This window comes from Homo sapiens, chromosome 3, assembly GCF_000001405.40.
Source record: "Homo sapiens chromosome 3, GRCh38.p14 Primary Assembly".
In the NCBI taxonomy this organism is placed as follows: Eukaryota; Metazoa; Chordata; class Mammalia; order Primates; family Hominidae; genus Homo; species Homo sapiens.
Genome location: NC_000003.12, coordinates 88,327,632 through 88,345,673, shown reverse-complemented (window position 1 = coordinate 88,345,673; position 18,042 = coordinate 88,327,632). Strand labels below are relative to the sequence as shown.

At 36.0% G+C, this 18,042-nt stretch overlaps 1 protein-coding gene across 6 annotated transcripts in view; it reads right to left on the bottom strand.

Annotated features, from left to right (window-relative positions):
* Nucleotides 1-7,218, bottom strand: part of CSNK2A2IP (casein kinase 2 subunit alpha' interacting protein) — a 129,139-nt gene extending 121,921 nt beyond the window's left edge. For 4 of the 6 annotated variants that reach the window (NM_001368168.1, NM_001368166.1, NM_001368165.1 and 1 more), the window contains exon 1: nucleotides 7,031-7,218. Coding sequence is in view for 2 of the 6 variants with exons in the window: in XM_047447367.1 (XP_047303323.1) it covers nucleotides 7,031-7,064 (34 nt within the window). In the remaining 4 variants the exon portion in view is untranslated. Of the gene's footprint in view, nucleotides 1-2,388; nucleotides 2,523-7,030 lie in introns of all 6 variants that reach the window. The other 2 variants (NM_001368167.1, XM_047447366.1) reach the window with 1 other exon arrangement.
* Between the last annotated feature and the right edge of the window lie 10,824 nt (nucleotides 7,219-18,042).

Genomic DNA, 18,042 nt, shown 5'->3' with positions numbered 1-18,042 from the left:
TCTAGCTCACTGTCTTATGTGAGTGCAGTTTGTGGCATCCCCAAACAATTATAACAGTAACATCAAAGAGGCCTAATCACAGATCACCAGGACATATAATAATAATGGAAAAGTTTGAAATGTTGTGAGAATTACCAAAGTGTCACACAGAGGCATGAAGTGAGCATGTGCTGATGAAAAAATGGCACTGATAGACTTCTCAATGCTGAGTTGCCACAAACCTTCAATTTATAAAAATGTAATATCTGTGAAGCTCAGTAAAGCAAAGCACAATAAACGAGGTATGCCTGTAATTTTTAGATTAATAATAATCAAATGTATAATTAAAGAAAGCAGAGGTAAAGGAAACCCTGTGATTTTAGAATGAATTCTGAGAATTTAATAACATGAATTAAGTGGCAAGCCACGTACACAAATATCCCTGAAATGTAGGTTGTTCATCTGTTTTATTTAAGTTTCCATATCCTGAAGATGGCTTAATGAGGGGATGCAATCAGGATTAGCTAAGCAGTGAGAACTTGGAGAGATCAGGGTGGCAGTTAGATTTATATAAATATTTGCAGAGACTGGGAAGAGCAGATGCTCATATAATCCAGACAATGTGTGCGCACTTGATTTTAAAATAAAAAACAGTTGAAAGCCAAAATATAATTAATCAGAGGAAATGCTTTAATCAGCATCTTCCAAATCCTTAAGCACTGCTGAAAAGATTAAAGAAACATAAAAGAAATTAAAACATGATATTCAAAAGGAAACCAGAATTAGTCTATTTCTGGCATTTTTCTTTTATTTCAGATGTGGGATGGAGTACACAATTAATTTGCATTTTCAATTGCTGTCAACTAGTGAAATTTCCTGGGTGTTTAAGGTACTAAATAAATTACCTAAGACTTACTGTATAATTTACAATGTGGTAGTGATATCTGTCCCTTTATTATTAGTTTATTACAATAAATATGTACACTTGCCCTTATTTCCTGTAGTTCTAAACAGAGATCTTTCCAATGGAATGGGAGACAGCAAATTTAAATGACTGTCAGTTTTATATTAATAGGTTAACTACATAGACTTTTTAAAAGTTGCATATCAAGAAGAAATTGGTACATCAAATCCATATAGTTATCCAATTTCTATCATGTAAACTCAAAATAAGAGCAATTAGCTTTGAACTCAGTCTGGGGCTCAGTTCTTCTAAAGTCAATAGCTCTTGCTATTATTTCTGTTGTTTTCTCCCAATATTTGATGAGCTTCTCAATATGAACCTGTAGTTATTACTAAAGTTCAGAGAATAACAATATAAATGGAAAATTTTAAAACAACATATGGAGGAAATAAAAGACACATGCCTTCATTGCAAGTCTAAAAAAATATAAACATTTAAAGCTCAAAGCTTTCATTTTTTCTAAAAAGAAAATTTTGTTGGTAATGGAAATGACCACATGTCTCGCCAGAGTATTATTAACAGTTTGTAAAAGGAAGGTGAGCCTCTACAGATAGTTAACAGCTTGCTACTCTGTTAATTTCAAGAATATCTTTAAGTAGAATGGGAGCCTGGTTGCAATTTCTGGCAGAAATATTATCAGCATCTACTAAAATTCTACCACAAAGTTTTTAGCACTAAAATGTTTGAAAGTTTTTTCCTGCAAAAACATTGTGGAAATATTCTTATTTAAATGATAGGTGTCAGAATTTCTCATTATGTGCCATCCTATAAATAAATCTTAATAGTAGGTAAAACTATTTGAATAACCTAGATGATTTATTGTGAAATATTGATTGAAAAATAAAAGCAGCTATGTGGCATTTTTTTGTGTTCTACCATAATCAAGTTAGCTTTGAAGAGCACATTGCACTAACTTGCTTATATATTAACTGTTTGATATTTTCTGCTAATAAGAGAAAAAAATCTGGATTTAAATGAATGAAAGACATACAGATTTTTGTGTCAGTCTCCCAATGACTTTTGTTTAGTGATTCATGTGCAATAGCCCTTTGATCCCCATATCACTAACCTTATGTACTTCATTTATAATAAGTTTACTACTATTAAAATAATTTATATTTTATTATCAGAAAATAATTCTGAAAAGTAGCCCTGTTTGATTCCTATACCAATGTCATTTTTTATCAAATGGCATTGTGTTACTCAAATCAGTGACTTTCACATAACAAGATAACTAATGACTCATAACCACGCCTAGTAATAATGCTGAATAAGAATATGGCCATTTCTGTCAACAGACTCACTGGAGTGATAAGGAGCAAAGACTAGTCATAAGAATGCTCCCTTGTTTCTGTCTCCTTTTTCTCAGTTCTTATCACTGTACCGCAAAAAGGGACATAGTGTTTAATTATTATGGTTGTTGAATACCATTATCACCATCTTACCAAGCTCATCACTTGTCAAAAGGAAATGAAAAATTAAGTTCTGTTGGCGACTCTGAGACAGGGACACAATATCTGGAGATCTGAACATCATCTCTGCCATTATGTTGCTTTGTACTCTTCTCCTTGGGCCATTTCTGCAAGATGAAGGGGTTGGTTAAGGGATACGCACTCCAAGGCACTTGTGTTCTGGGCATTGTCAGCAGCAACCCATGGCGTAAATGTAACCATATACGAAAATGGCTTATGAATCTGGAAATATGCTGTCCTGGATTATGTCTCCCACCCTTAGGTGGCTATTTAAGTGTAAGAATTAAGAAATTAATAGTAAATATTTAAAATTCAGTTTCTCAGTAATACAAGCCAAATAGCAAGTGCTCATAGCCCCTTGGTGGCTATTGGCTACCAAGAAAAGAGAAAATTCTACATAAGTAACTATGCTATGTGTATTATTTTCTGGAAGCAGAGGTAATACACACCAAAATTATCAACCTACAAAAGTATTAATTTGTTTCCAAGGAGTAATGGAGGTGGTAGAGTCATGTATATACAGTTTTGCATTTTGGGTTTTTTTTTTTTAACCTTGCTCAGATCCTTTTATTTTTTTTTCTGACAATATAGACATGTGCAAATCCCTTGCTTTCTTTTTGACAAAAAAAGTTCTGAGTATTGCTAAAAGAAAACTTCAGCTGAATTACATTTAAAGGAGTTTAATTGACCAATAAATGATCCATCAACCGGGCAGACCTCAGAATCACAACAGATTCAAGAGAGACACCAGCAACAGCCACATGGTGGAGGAAGATTTATGGACAGCAAAAGGAAAGTGACCTACAGAAAATGGAAGTGAGACACAGAAACAGATGGATTGGTTACAGCTCAGCATTTGCCTTATTTGAACATGGTTCAAACAGCTGGCTACATTTCACTGGCCAAAACTCAGTGATTGGCACAGGTGTGGGCCATGATAGGTTTACACCCCGACTTGCTATAATTCACGATGTACAGAAAAGCTTTTAGGCCAAACTTAATATGTAAGGAGGCAGCTTTAGGCTAACTTTGATGTAACAGAATATATAAGTTCCTGAATTCTGAAGCATTTCTTAATAGTCATACCGAACTCTGAAGGCATATACCTATACAATATTGTAGCAAAGATTTGTTTTGAATATTATTTACTATACCAGACTACTTGCTAACACTAAAAAAAGACATACACACATACAAATAAAAACCATCAAACAAAAACACTTAAAAAAATTTATACTAGTATATATGTCAGCAATCTGGGAATGATCCGTTTCATGACTTAGATTTAATAATACCTATTGACATTTAATTTTCTATAATCCTCTGCTTATCAAGAGACAAAACACTAAGTAAAAACACATCAATATATGAGTGATTATAGACCATCACCATTGTTTTCAAACATACCAAAATGTATACATTCAAATACATTTTGACTTTCTCAACTAGTTACTTTTCAGAAAAATGAATTCCCTTCAGATTCTCCGAAAGTTTATTTTAAATAGCATTAATGTTATCAGATATTAATACTTCAGGAGCATAATTTTGTGTCTGAAAATAGTTCAAGGTCATCTAAAGCCAAATCTGGATCATAATTCTGGATACAATCAAAGTGAAACTAAAAGTAGTAAGAGTTTTTTTTTCCTGTGGGAATAATAATGAGATAGCATTTATTGAGTATCCATGAAATATCAAGAAATGTTTACTGTTTAACATAATTATTCTTGTCTTCATCATTATTTTCCATCTTACAGATGAGGAAACAGCTGCTCACAGAAGTCTCATAACTTACCTAAAGTTACATGTCAGGCACATTTTAGAACAAGAATTCATACACAGAAATATCTAGCTAGTCTAAATCTAGGATGCTAAGGTTAATTCTCAATGAGACATTTTAAAATTCACTTCTTGTTTATAATCATTTTTACCTTTACAATTTCTATTATAAAAATGCATATAATAATAATGATTCATGTCAATATTTATTGTACATTTTATGATTTTGGTTTTTGAAAGAAAATAGCCTCTGAACCCAATTATTCCTCCAGATATATCTGGATTATTTTTTATATAGAATAGCAATAAAACCCTAAAATGAAAATAAAAGTCTTCAAATACTTATAAATTCAATTATTTTGTAACATTTTCATATTATTTCACATAAAAACTTGAATTTTAATGGAAAAGTAAATATGCATTTGCATAAATTTGAAACGTGGAAAAAATATGAACCATAATTTGGATGCATATGTTTTAGTATGTTTACAAAAGACTAACAAAATTTGACATAAAATAATATTTGTTCAGGCCTGGAACACAAACATTGATTCTAATGTATTTGTTTATGAAGTTGGAATACAGCTTTAAAATATGACTTAGAATGGTTATCTCACATGCAGTTCAGTAAGACAAAGGCTCATATAAATATCATGTACCATTGAACACTATCAATTAAGTATGTAAACCCAAGATAAAGCTGTTCAGGTGGCATACCAGACTAAGTGGAATTATTACAGACAGTTTGTATCAATTAAGAAAGTTCAAGCAGTTATTTAAATACTTGAGGCTATTCATTAGCCCTTAAAGCTCAAAGAAATCACCAAAGTGTAATTATATCCAGCCTAGTGATTGGCACTTAAGTTTATAAGAGGTTAAGAAAGCCCCACAGGTCATGATTGAACAAATAGCTCCCGATCACAGCACCAGTGATATCTTAGAAGAACACAATGACAGGGGAGAGATCTTGGTACTAAAGAATACGCAGTTTCTGAAAAGTGAGGAATTTTAAATAACTATTATTTGAGAAACTTACCAGTGAATTAGCATAAAATATACATTACGAATAATTCAGTTCATCTCTAACACCGTGTACATAAACTACAGGCAATTTTTTAAAAATTTTAAGTGCTATAAATCCTAAATTCAATCACAGAAGCAGTGTTAACAAGTACATTCCTTCTTGGAGGTTTCCTTTCTCTAGATGTGTCTTAACCAATTTAATCATGCTCCTAAATACTACCTCATGGCAGGCAATTAAGACCCTGTAAGACTCAGAATATACACCTCCGTACCCATTTCTTTTGAAAAAAGGAAAGAAAATTACTTAGCTATAAGCATACTCTCAACAAGTCATAATCACAATGACTCTAAACATTTTAAACCCAAGCTCTTTCTTGGTACATATAGAAAATATTTTATCCAGGAAGTTTAAAGTCATTCCGTGTCCTCGCAAATAGGCAACTGTACATCCAGTTCTTAAGGACCAATGCATATCTAAAAACATTAGCTTTACAATTTTAGATAGGTAGAAAATTGTGAATGGAGACAGTTATAATAATGACCCAGAAGAGCAACAATGAAAAGAAAACAAAAACTACTTCAATAGGTCTTAAAAAGGTGTCTCTCCACTTAAGGACACAACCATAGGTTCTCACCCCCATAATTGCTGCTCTGGTTAACATTTTTTCACACAAAAATTATATGGTTTGCCAATGTTCAAAGATTTACAAAGAGTACTTATTAAATCTATGCTGAAAATAATTTAGCTTTGAATGATTCAGAATTTTCTTCAGAATTCTTTTCCTGTCCCAAGTGTCATCATTACTTACGTACACCAGTTATCACTGAACAATCTTGTAGGTACAGAATGCATCGGAAATGGACTTTTCCTGTACATACCTTAAAATATATGTGAGTGCTGGGTATAAAGCTTAAAGAAAAGAAATCAACATATCAAAGAGGTATCTGCACTCCCATGTTTATTACAGCACTACTCACAATAGCCAAGCTGTGGAAACAACCTATGTGTTCATCAGTGGACAAATAGATCAAGAAAATGTGGCACATATACACAATGGAATGTTATTCAGCCATAAAAAGGAATGAAGTCATGTCATTTGCAACATGGATAGAACTGGAGGACATTATGTTAAGTGAAATTAGTCAGGCACAGAAAGATATTATCACACAAATATGGGAGCTAAAAAAAAAATGAACTCATGAAGATGGAGTGGAATGATGGTTACCAGAGGCTGGGAAGGGTAATGGGAACTGGGGGATAAAGTGAGGATTGTTAATGGGTATGAAAATACAGTCAATAGAAGAAATAAGATCTAGTGTTCTATAGCACAATAGAATGACTATAGTTAACACTAATTTAATGTGTATTTTTAAATAATTGAAAGAGTGGAATTAGAATGTTCTAAAATAATAATAATGGTTTGAGACAATGGCTACCCCAATTACCCTGGTTTGAACATTACACATTGTATGCCTGCATCTAAACATCACATGTACCGCATACATACAGACAACTATTATGTACCCATAATAATAAATTTTAAAAATTAAATTAAAAAAATAAATAAAGCATAAGTGGGAATAAATCTGCTTTTAGTTTATTTACAGCCACCTCTTAGTAGCAGATATCTGAACAAAAGTTTATTCACTGACATTTTTTAGATGTTGGGTTTACAGGTTAACAAGACTTCAGCATATACTGAAAAAAATAGCCCACCAATTTGCTCATACATACATATGCACACATAAGCTTATACAACACAGAAGGACTTTAGCACACTCTTGTACAGAAGCAGCCATGTAGCCAGGAACTTACCACCACACTCTAGCTGCTGAAATGTCCTTCTCATCCCTATAGCTGTAGTGATTCCTGGGTCTTCATTTAATTTTCACTGGTGAGGAAACAAATGTCTAGAGTCTCCATTAACCCATTGCCTCGATCCTTGATGACATGAGAGCCTTAATAGTCTACCCTCACTGCTGGAAAATGAGGGTGTGGAGTGTGAACAAGAGGCTCTGTTTCCGCTCCCATCCTGAGGCCCACTTCATAATGGGAGATGTGTTCCAGAATCTTGGGTTGGAAATTAGAATAAGTTTCACCATAGAAATAAAAATCTGAAGACCTGAAACTTCCCAGATAATCAGTAATACAATTTAGCTACTTTATACAATTTTATGAACTAACCAGAATAAACTACTTCATATAATAAAAATATTATCAGAAAAATGCATTCTGAGCTTTTTAAAACTAAAAAAATAGTTTTTGAAATAGATCCTATTCACTGTTTAAAGAATGTTCACAAATTAAAATCACAAAAGAACAAATCAGTTACTACTCTCCAAAATCATAAAATTTTACATAATTTTCAATAGACATACTTTTCAAATATTACATTGAAAAATGACCAAGTTGTAAATAGTAAAGGCTAGGAAGCAAAGGACTTTGTGCAATATAGAGGGGAAATGATAATTCAAATTACATATTTTTGTGTACAATTTTTTTATTCTATTTCAACTGGCTGTTTTCTTTTCTTCTGCAGACCTGATAAACTGGGTAATTCTCCCTTTTTATCCTGTATTTTCACTTTTGTCTTGCTGTTTACTGGATTATGCTAATTAGCATGCTAACAAAACAAAATCTTCTCTTGATCCTACCTCTACATTGACTAGTACTCCATTTCATTTCTCCCTATGCAAAGTAAAATTCTTTGAGTTGCCTTTACTTATTATTTCCAATTTTTTTTCTCATTTTCTCCTAAACTCACTGCAACCAAGCTTTAAGCCATTCCACCAAAACTGTTCCTGCCACAATTATTATTTACTTCTGCATTGCTCAATCCAATGGTCAGTGTTCTGCCCTTGGTCCAATAGCAGCATTTGACACATTTGATCATTCTCTCCTTTTAGATACATTTTCCAGGACACCTCCCATTCTTGGGCTTTCTTTTCTGTCTGATCACATCTATGTAATTACTCAGTTCTTCTCTATCTCCTCCCTTAGTGATCTTACCTCGTTCCATGACTTATGTTAGCACTTTAAAGACATTATTCCAAAATCTTCGGGTGTCTATGGTTTCTAATTAGAAGTCAGTGGCTTTGTGAATCATTGTTTCCCTGTAGGTAATGAGTCACTTTTCTCTTGCTGCTTTCAAGATTTTCTCTTTACCTTTGGTTTCCAAAAGTTTGACTATAATGAGATCAGGCATAGTTTGCATTATGTTTACCTTGATCTGCGTTTGCTTAGGTCTTTGAATCTATAATATTGAGTCTTTCACCAAATCAGAGAAATGTTTTTATTTCAACTAATTTTTCTGGCTCATTCTCTTTCTGCTCTTCTGGACTCCAATTACAGTTGTGTTGGACCTTTTAATGTTAGATTCTTAAATTTCTGTTCAAATTTCTGAATCTTTTTTTTCTAGCTTTCCCAGATTGGATAATTTCTTTTGATCTTTCTTAAAGTACACTGACTCTTTCCTATTTATCTCCATGCTACTGTTAAGCCTACCCATTGAATTCTTTAATTCAGATGCTGTGTTTCTTAGTTACAGAAATTTCATTTGGTTCTTTTTTATGTTTTCTGTTTTTCTGTTGAGAATTTCTATATATTCATCCATTATAGGCATCTTTAGTTTTCCTCATTGAGCACTGATATGGTTTAACTCCAAATCTCACCTTGAGTTGTAATAATCCCCACATGTTGTGGGAGGGACCCAAGGGAGGTAACTGAATCATGAGGGTGGGTTTTTCTCATGCTCTTCTTGTAATAGTAAATAAGTCTTACAAGATCGGATGGTTTTATAAAGAGGAGTTCCCCTGCACATGCTTTCTTGCCTACTGCCATGCAAGATGTGACTTTGTTTTATGGAAGCGACTTTAGAACTGGGTAGCAGGCAGAAGTTGGAACAGTTTGGAGGGCTCAGAAGAAGACAGAAAAATGTGGGAAAGTTTGGAACTTCCTGGAGACTAGACGAGCTCAGAAGACAGGAAGATGTGGGAAAGTTTGGAACTTCCTAAAGACTTGTTGAATGGCTTTGACAAAAATGCTGATAGTGATATGGACTTGTTGGGAACTGGAGCAAAGGTGACTCTTGCTGTGCTTTAGCAAAGACTGGTGGCATTTTGCCCCTGCCTTAGAGATATATGGAACTTTGAATTTGAGAGAGATAATTTGGGGTATCTGGCAGGAGAAATTTTTAATCAGCAAACATTCAAGAGGAAGCAGAACATAGAAGTTTGGAAAATTTGCAGCCTGATGATATGACAGAAAAAAAAAAGCATTTTCTGAGAAGAAATTTAAGCTGGCTGCAGAAATTTGCATAAGTAATGAGGAGTGCAGTGTTAATCACCAAGACAATGGGGAAAATGTCTCCAGGGCATATCAGAGACCTTCATAGCAGCCCCTCCCATCACAGGCCTGGAAGCCTAGGAGGGAAAAGTAATTTCCTGAGGTTGGGTCCAAGGCCCCCCCACCGGCTGCCCTGCTGTATGCAGCCTAGGGACTTGGTGCTCTGTGTCCCAACTGCTCCAGTAATGTCTAAAAATGGCCAAGGTACAGCTCAGGCCATGGTTTCAGAGGGTGCAAGCCCCAAATCTTGGCAGTTCCACATGGTGTTGAGCCTGCAGGTGCACAGAAGTCAAGAATTGAGGTTTGGGAATCTCCACCTAGATTTCAGAGGATGTATGGAAATGCCTGGATGTCCAGGCAGAGGTGTGCTGCAGGGACAGAGCCCTCATGGAGAACCTCTGCTAGTGCAGTGCAGAAGGGAAATGTGGTATTGGAACACTCACACAAAGTCCCCACTGGGGCACAGCCCAGTGGAGGTATGAGAAGAAAGCCACCATCCTCCAGACCCCAGAATAGTAGATTCACCAACAGCTTGCACTGTGGGTTTGGAAAAGCAACAGACACTCAATGCCAGCCCAAGAAAGCAGCAAGGAGGGAGGCTGTACCCTGCAAAGCCACAGTGGCAGAGCTGACCAAGCCATGGGAGCCCACCTCTCACATCAGTGTGACCTAGATATGAGACATGGAGTCAAAGGAGATCACTTTGGAGCTTTAAGATTTGACTGTCCTGCTGGATTTCAGACTTACATGGGGCCTGCAGCCCCTTCATTTTCACTAATTTCTCCCATTTGGAACAGCTGTATTTACTCAATGCCTATACCCCCATTGTATCTAGGAAGTAACTAACTTGTTTTTGATTTTTCAGGTTCAAAATCAGAAGAAACTTGCCTTGTCTCAGATGAGACTTTGGACGTGGACTTTTGGGTTAATTCTGGAATGAGTTAAAACTTTGGGGAACTATTGGAAGGCATGATTGGTTTTGAAATGTGAAGACATGAGATTTGGGAGGGGCCAGAAGTGGAATGATATGGTTTGCTTCTGTGTCCCCATCCAAATCTCACCTTGAGTTTTTATAATCCCCATGTGTCATGGGAGGGACCAAGTGGGAGGTAATTGAATCATGGGGGTGAGTTTTTCCCATGTTGTTCTAGTAATAGTGAATAAATCTCACAAGATTGAATGGTTTTATAAAGGGGAGTTCTCCTGCACAAGCTTTCTTGCCTGCCACATGTAAGACATGACTTTGCTCCTCATTTGCCTTTCACCATGATTGTGAGGACTCCTCAGCCAACTGGAACTGTGTGTGAATTAAACCTCTTTGCTTTATAAGTTACCCAGTCTCAGGTATGTCTTTATTAGCAGCGTGAGAACAGACTAATACAAGCACAGTTAAAACGGCAACTTTAAAATCCTTGCCTACTAATTCCAACAATGAGTCATCTAAGGGTTGGCCTCCACTGCTTATTTCCCTTGAGAATGGTCACATTTTCCTGATTTTTTCATACGTTAAGATTATATTCAGAACATTGCAAATGTTATGTTGTAGAGACTCTATATTCTACTTTATTCCTCCAAAGAATGGAATTTTTGTTTTATTAGTTAATTTAATTGGACTCAAACTGCAAAATCTTTCTCTCTAGAGGTAGCTCAAATGTCAGTTCACTTTTGTTGTTCTTAGCCAAAGTCTTTCCCACATATGAATGGTGTGTCAGCCAGAGACTTGATAGCGTTTATTCACAGAGATTAGGCCTCCCTCTTCCGGCTCTCTGCTTCCCATTCACTTTCTACTATCCATGGTTGCCCCAAATTTTGTCTTCTAATTCTTCAGGCCAAAAAACTTTGAGGTTTTCCACTAGAGTTTAGAGACTCTTTGCAGAAACTACTGAAGATGACGTTCAGGATAAAATCTACAAAATGAGAATCTCGCCCAATGCTTTTTACACATTTTAATTTTCCTCCATAATCGGCCTGGCTTATAAACTCCCATAGCCTTTGAGTCATTCTTTTGGTATTTTATCTAGAACTTATGGTTGTTATTTGGAAGATGGTCGGTTATTCAAACATATTAATGGGAAACCAGCCCTCAGTTCGGACCATGACTTTAAATCTCTATGCTGAAAACTTCTTAATTTCCAATTGGATGTTCCAAAGTTAACATGCTCAAGATTAGTCTCCTGATCTTTTCTCCAACCCCAACCTGCCCCACAGCCAACCTTCCTCATCTCAGGGGATCTCAACTACATTCTTTCAGTAACTCCAGACAGAAAACTTTGAAGTTCTCTTGACTTCTCCTTTCTTTCATATCCTTTATCCAGTCCCGTAGGAAAATGTGTTGTCTCCACCTTTAAAATAAAACCAAAATCTGACCACTTTGCTCACTTACACTGTAGCTATTATCATCTCTTGCAAGGGTTGTAGCAATAACCTCCTAACTGATCTCATTGTAACCATTTTGTCCCCTTGGTCTATTACATTCATGGCAGCAGACAGAATGATCCTTTACAAAGGCAAAACAGATCATTCTCCCTTTATTAACACTCAGATGGAGTTATGTTCTACCCAAAATAACAGCCAAATTCCGTCAAATGAGCTGCAAGCCACAAAGATGTGCCCCCATTACCTCTGTGTCCTCTTCTACTACTACTAATCCCCTAGTCTTCTTTCCCTTAAATGTGCCTAGTGTGCTTTTGCCCTAGGGCTTTGACTCCACCTGTTCCCTCTCACCTGGAATGCTCTTTCTCCAAATCCCAGATTAGCTAACCACCTCACCTCTATGAAGAGTCTGCTTAATCTTACCTCCAAAATGAGGCCGATTTTGACCCTCATATGTAATACTGCAACTTTCCCACTCTCTTTCCTGTGTCGCCCTGCCAGAATACAAGATTCATGAGGTCACAGCCTTCTGTCCTCAGTATGTCTCAAGTATCCAGAACAGTGGCTGGCTCATAGCAATTGGTCAATAAATATGTTGAACAAATGAACGGTAAGCCCCATCCTATCTGATCACAGAAAAAAGAATTTTAGTCATTCCGTGCTATTCTTGTTCATTTCAAGTTTAAATGTTTTTCATTCAAAATGTCCCTTTTTCTTTCTCTCAACCTGGTACCTAATTTTTTCAGGGGCTTATATGGAGAGGAAGGAGGCCAGGAGAGGATGTCTGTCTGTGACTTCCCTCTGAAATACATGGTCATTTGTTGAGATGGCTTCTTCCTTTCCTGGCCTCTGTTCTTGCATCTATTCCTATTGCCAGTCTCTGACATGTGTATTATTACTCTGTGATCTGCAATAGCATCAAACAACCAAAACTGAGAAATCAGTTTAGTCTACTGGTTCTTTCCAATTATGCCCCCTCTTTGAAGGCACTGGAAAGTTTTAGCTATGTTTCTATGTTTCTCTGGAGTCCAAAAACCCCTAACTCTTTTTTTTTGTTCTTAAAGACAGGATCTCACTCTGTCACCCAGGCTGGATTGCAGTGGTACAATCCTAGCTCAGTATAACCTCAAACTCCTGGGCTCAAGCTATCCTCCCAGCTCAGCCCTCTGAGTAGCTAGGGCTACAATTGTACATCACCACGTCTAGCAAAATTCTTTTAAATTTTGCTAGAAATGGGGGTCTTGTTATGTCATGCAGGCTGATTTCCAACTCCTGACCTCAAGCAATCCTCTTACCTTGGCCTCCCAAAGCACTAAAATTACAGACCTAAGCCACCATGCCCGGCCAAACCTGAAATCTTTATCAGGACTTTATTATCCTGGACACCGCAAAATGCCATCAGGACTCAAGCCCTTGTCAACATAGGAAATACCTACAAGAGTAGAGTCTGAGGAATTCCCAAAACTGGTTTCCTCTGCTTTTGGATATCCCAACTTCTCTTGGGATTTTTTTGTTAATCAATGCCCCCTTTATCTGCTTTGGGTACAGAATAGAGGAAAACCCCTAAGCAGGTTTAACCATTTTGTTTCCTCTCTTCTTCTATTCCCCTCCACAGTTCAGAGGAGCTCTTGACAGGAGTGGAGAGTTCAGAACTGGACAACAAATATTCTTTGTAAATATTTTTTTCTTGCATAAGAAGTGAAGATTTTGAGTTTAAAAGCCAAGGATTTGACACTTTTTCCTTGGGTTCTACCCCCACCGAGTTTTTTGTATACATCTGTGAACCTTGAAAATCTGAGAGAAGTCTAAGTTAATTTAGAAAGTTTATTTTGCCAAAGTTGAGGACGCACACCTGTGACACAGACTCAGCAGGTCATGACAACATGTGCCCAAGGTGGTCAGGGCACAGTTTAGTTTTATACATTCTAGGGAGACATGAGACATCAATCAGCATATGCAAGATGAACATTGGTTTGGTCTAGAAAGGCGGGACAACTCGAAGCAGAGTTAGGGAAGACTCCAAGTAGGAAGGGGGCTTCCTGGTCCTAAGTAGAAAAGAGACAAATGGTTGCATTCTTTTGAGTTTCTGATTAGCCTCTCCAAAGGAGGCAGCCAGATATGCACTCATCTCAGTGAGCAGAGGAGTGACTTTAAATAGAATGAGAGGCAGGTTTGCCCTAAGCAGTTCCTAGCTTGACTTTTCCCTTTAGCCTAGTGATTTGGGGGCCCAAGATATTTTCCTTTCATACATCCCATGACTAATTTCTAGATGCCTGCACTGGAAAGAAGGGTTTCAAGGCCCAGGAAAAGAAAATGAAAGAAGTTTAAATGTGGGGGAATAAAAGCAGGCAAGAAAAGGGGGAAGTGACAGTGAGATTTCAGTTGACACTTCAAAATATTCATAATTTTTATCTCTAATCTTTATCACTTGAACAACTTCTTATACCTGACTTAGCTTTCTGTTAAAAAAAAAAAGTAACAAGAATAAATGAAGATGAGAAAACTCAATTAATCTTTTCTCACAAGGTAGAGTTCCACAATAATACTAAATTTACCCAGTGCTTTTAAGACACTAAAGAACAAGCCATATGCTGGCTCTTAAGGTCTGATGAATTAAGGGAAAAAAATTCAGATTGGATAAGAGTGTAAATGCCCGCTGAGCCTAAGTATCACTTAGAGATTCAGGCACACATAAGTGAAGAAAGAAAAAGAATTATCCCCTTTGACATAAAGTATTGGGAAACCCAATATTAGCGTTCTATAAAGCCAAAATCTAAATGAAGAAATTCTTAGCCTTAATGAAGGTCATATGTAAACATACAGAGAATGCCACACTAGTTTTACAAGGAAACTTGGGAAATTAACTTCCACACATGATGAACTTTGAGGCTTTTAGAGGAAAGTAACTGCCTATATCCCAAATAATATATAAAATGTAGTTTCTTTTGCAATTAATGAAGTAATTCAAAGTGGTTACCTTTTTATTGCAAAAGAATAATTTTTTTAAAAAAAAATTAGATCCTCAGGATGTTTGTACAGACTTTTCCTTTGGCCAGGCACAATAGCCCTAGCCCGAGTCTCTGCTGCAGCTGAAATAGCACTTACTCAGAGAGGCCTTCCCAGATACACTGACCAAAAAGGTCAATTCCACCTCAGCTCTATTATCCACTGACTCTATAGTCTGTTCATATAATTTTGTAACTGTATGTTTGTTTATGTATTTACTCCTGTATCATTGGCATTCTATATCAAATTATAAACTCTAAAATACAAGCTATGTCTCTACTGAATTCTTCAAAGTATATCTATCACTTAGCATCATGTTTAGTAGATAGCAAGTAACATGGTTTGGATCTGTGTCCCTGCCCAAATCTCATATCAAATTGTACTCCCCAGTGTTGGAGGTGGAGCCTAGTGGGAGGTGATTGGATTGTGAAGGCATTTCTCATGAATAGTGTAGCACCATCAACTTGGTGCTATTCTCATGATAGTGAGTGAGTTCTCACAAGATCTGGCAGTTTAAAAGCGTGTGTCACCTCCACCCTCACTCTTGTTTCTTATCCCTCCAAGTAAGAGATGTTGCTCCCCATTTGCCTTCCACCATGATTGGAAGCCTGAGGCTTCCAATCCCCAGAAGCAGAAGCCACTATATTTCCTTTACAACCTGCAGAACCATGAGCCCAACCATTTTTCTTTATAAATTACTCAGTCTCGGGTATTTATTTATAGCAATGTGAGAATAGACTAATATAGCAAGTAATTGATTAAACGTCTATTAAATGAATGAAAGAAAAAAATAGATTAAAAATGTGAGTTAATTGCTCTGAGAATTTTTTAACTGATTGATAGTTTTCCAAATGACAGGTATTCTAGTACTTATTAAATGTAACAACCTTTTCCATTTTTACCTTTTTTCAAAACTTCATTAGTTCTGAAACTGTTGTGTAATAGTGTGCTGGTTAACAACCTGCTCTCTAAATAAAAAGAAATGTATGTATATATGTAACTAAGTTTATGGTAAAGGTACTGACATGAAGGATATGTGTTATACAATTTACCATATTCTTTACTGAAAATTTCGTGTAGCTAATTAGTTCTCACAGAATATTTTTGTGGATTCTTTCTAAACTCTTGTATCTATAATCAATCTATATTTGAAATTGACAAATGAGTTTATTTCTAAGGTAGGTATCAGTCGACATTTTTACTTATGTTATTGAATACAATAAAAATAACAAAACAGAGATATGTCAGAACTTTACATATCTGTCAGTGGTGTGAGCAACATTTGCTGAATCAGGTAATAGTTTTCAAATACTAAAATAATTTTCTCAAATTTTATGGTCTTCACAATGTAACACCTGTACATGCAGCACATTTTTAAGTTTAATCTGCAGTATTAATATGTTTTCCACCACTTTCTTATGTGAGCTCAAGAGTAGAGAAATTTTTCTACACTCAGATAGTAAATAGTAAGGCCTTACAGGATAGGTAGTCTCTGCTACAATTACTTCTTTCTGCGTTTGTAATCTAAAAGTATCTATGGACAATGTAAACAAATGGGTGTGTCTGTCTTCCAACAAAACTTTATGTACCAAAACAAGCAGTGAGCTGGATTTTGCCCAAGGGCTACTGTTGGTCACCTCTTATACTTAGATAATTAACACAACCACAAATCGGGCCTGATTTTTAGCATGTGCCATTTTCATGGTGCAAATATTCTCACCATTACTAATTTTAAGTTAGCAACGTAACATCATCGCATGCCAAATTAGAAAGAGATGGGAAATAAAACACCATTATCTAGTATTTCCACATCATAAATAACATATATAAATAACCTAAGGAGTATGGGTAATAGGAACAGGTAGTAAAATAATTAGAAATTGATGAGTTTTTGAGTATTTATTAACTTAGTTGTTAACATGTTTTATTTACTTGGAAACGTATATAATTAATTTAATTTATTTAATTGCTGTGCTTAAAAAGTGATGCATAAAATTCCTGAAAACTTAAGAATCTGTTTTCTTGAGCTGATAATAGGTGTGGGTTCCTGCACATCGTTGCCACAGCTGTATCTCTTTCTTGAAACCCTCTCTACTCTCTGCATCTCCTACTTTAATCTGGTTTCTTCTTCCTTCTTTGAATTTCCTTTATTTATTCTCAGGCAGCTTATTTTCCTATTCTCATTTTCAGTTTGAAGAGTTCAGTGTGACTCTCTTCTTCCACCTTAACATAATCTGCCAGCAAGCTACCCTGGCATAAATTCAATTACTGCTACATTGCTGGTTATGTTCAAAAATATATATTTAGCTCTGCATTATCATTCACACTTCTAAATGGCCTGCTGATTTTTTAAAAATATTTTCATTGCATGTTTTGATTCTTTACTGTCATTTCAAATTTAATGAGATTAAAACAAGACATCAAATTTTCCAAGCTCTTCTCCTTCATGCCTTAATTGTTCAAGGTTATGCCACCAGATCAGCTTGAAATTTTGATTTCAACATCCTCTTTGGCTATGCTTAGTCTCATCAATACTTTCTGCTAAATATCTTCTATTTACATCTCTCTACATTCACATTTCTACCATAGAGCTCACACTGAATTATAGCAACAGCCTCCAGTTGATCCCCCTGTCTTCAGCCTTATCATTCAGTGGTTTCTTATAATGGAGTGAGATTCATTTATTCTAAATCCTGAGTTTATCATACTTAAACGCTTGATTAAGACCTAAAATTTCCCAGCATGATGGCTCATGCCTGCAATCTCAACACTTTGGGAGACCGAGGCAGAGGTTCGCTTGAGGCCAAGAGTTTGTGAACATCCTGGGCAACATAGTGAGACCCTACAAAACAAAAACAAGAAAACAGTTAGTCCCAGCTACTCAGGAGGGTGAATGGATGATCACCTGAGCACGGGAGTTGGAGATTGCTGTGAGCTATGATCATGGCACTGCCCTCCAGCCTGGGTGATAGAGCAAGACCCTGTAGCAAAAAAAAAAAAAAAAAAAAAACTTAAAATTGATTTTATTGCTTACCTCATGAAACCTAAATTTCATGCCTCGTTTCAAGGGTTTAAGAAATTTAAATGAGTATGTCTTTACTAAT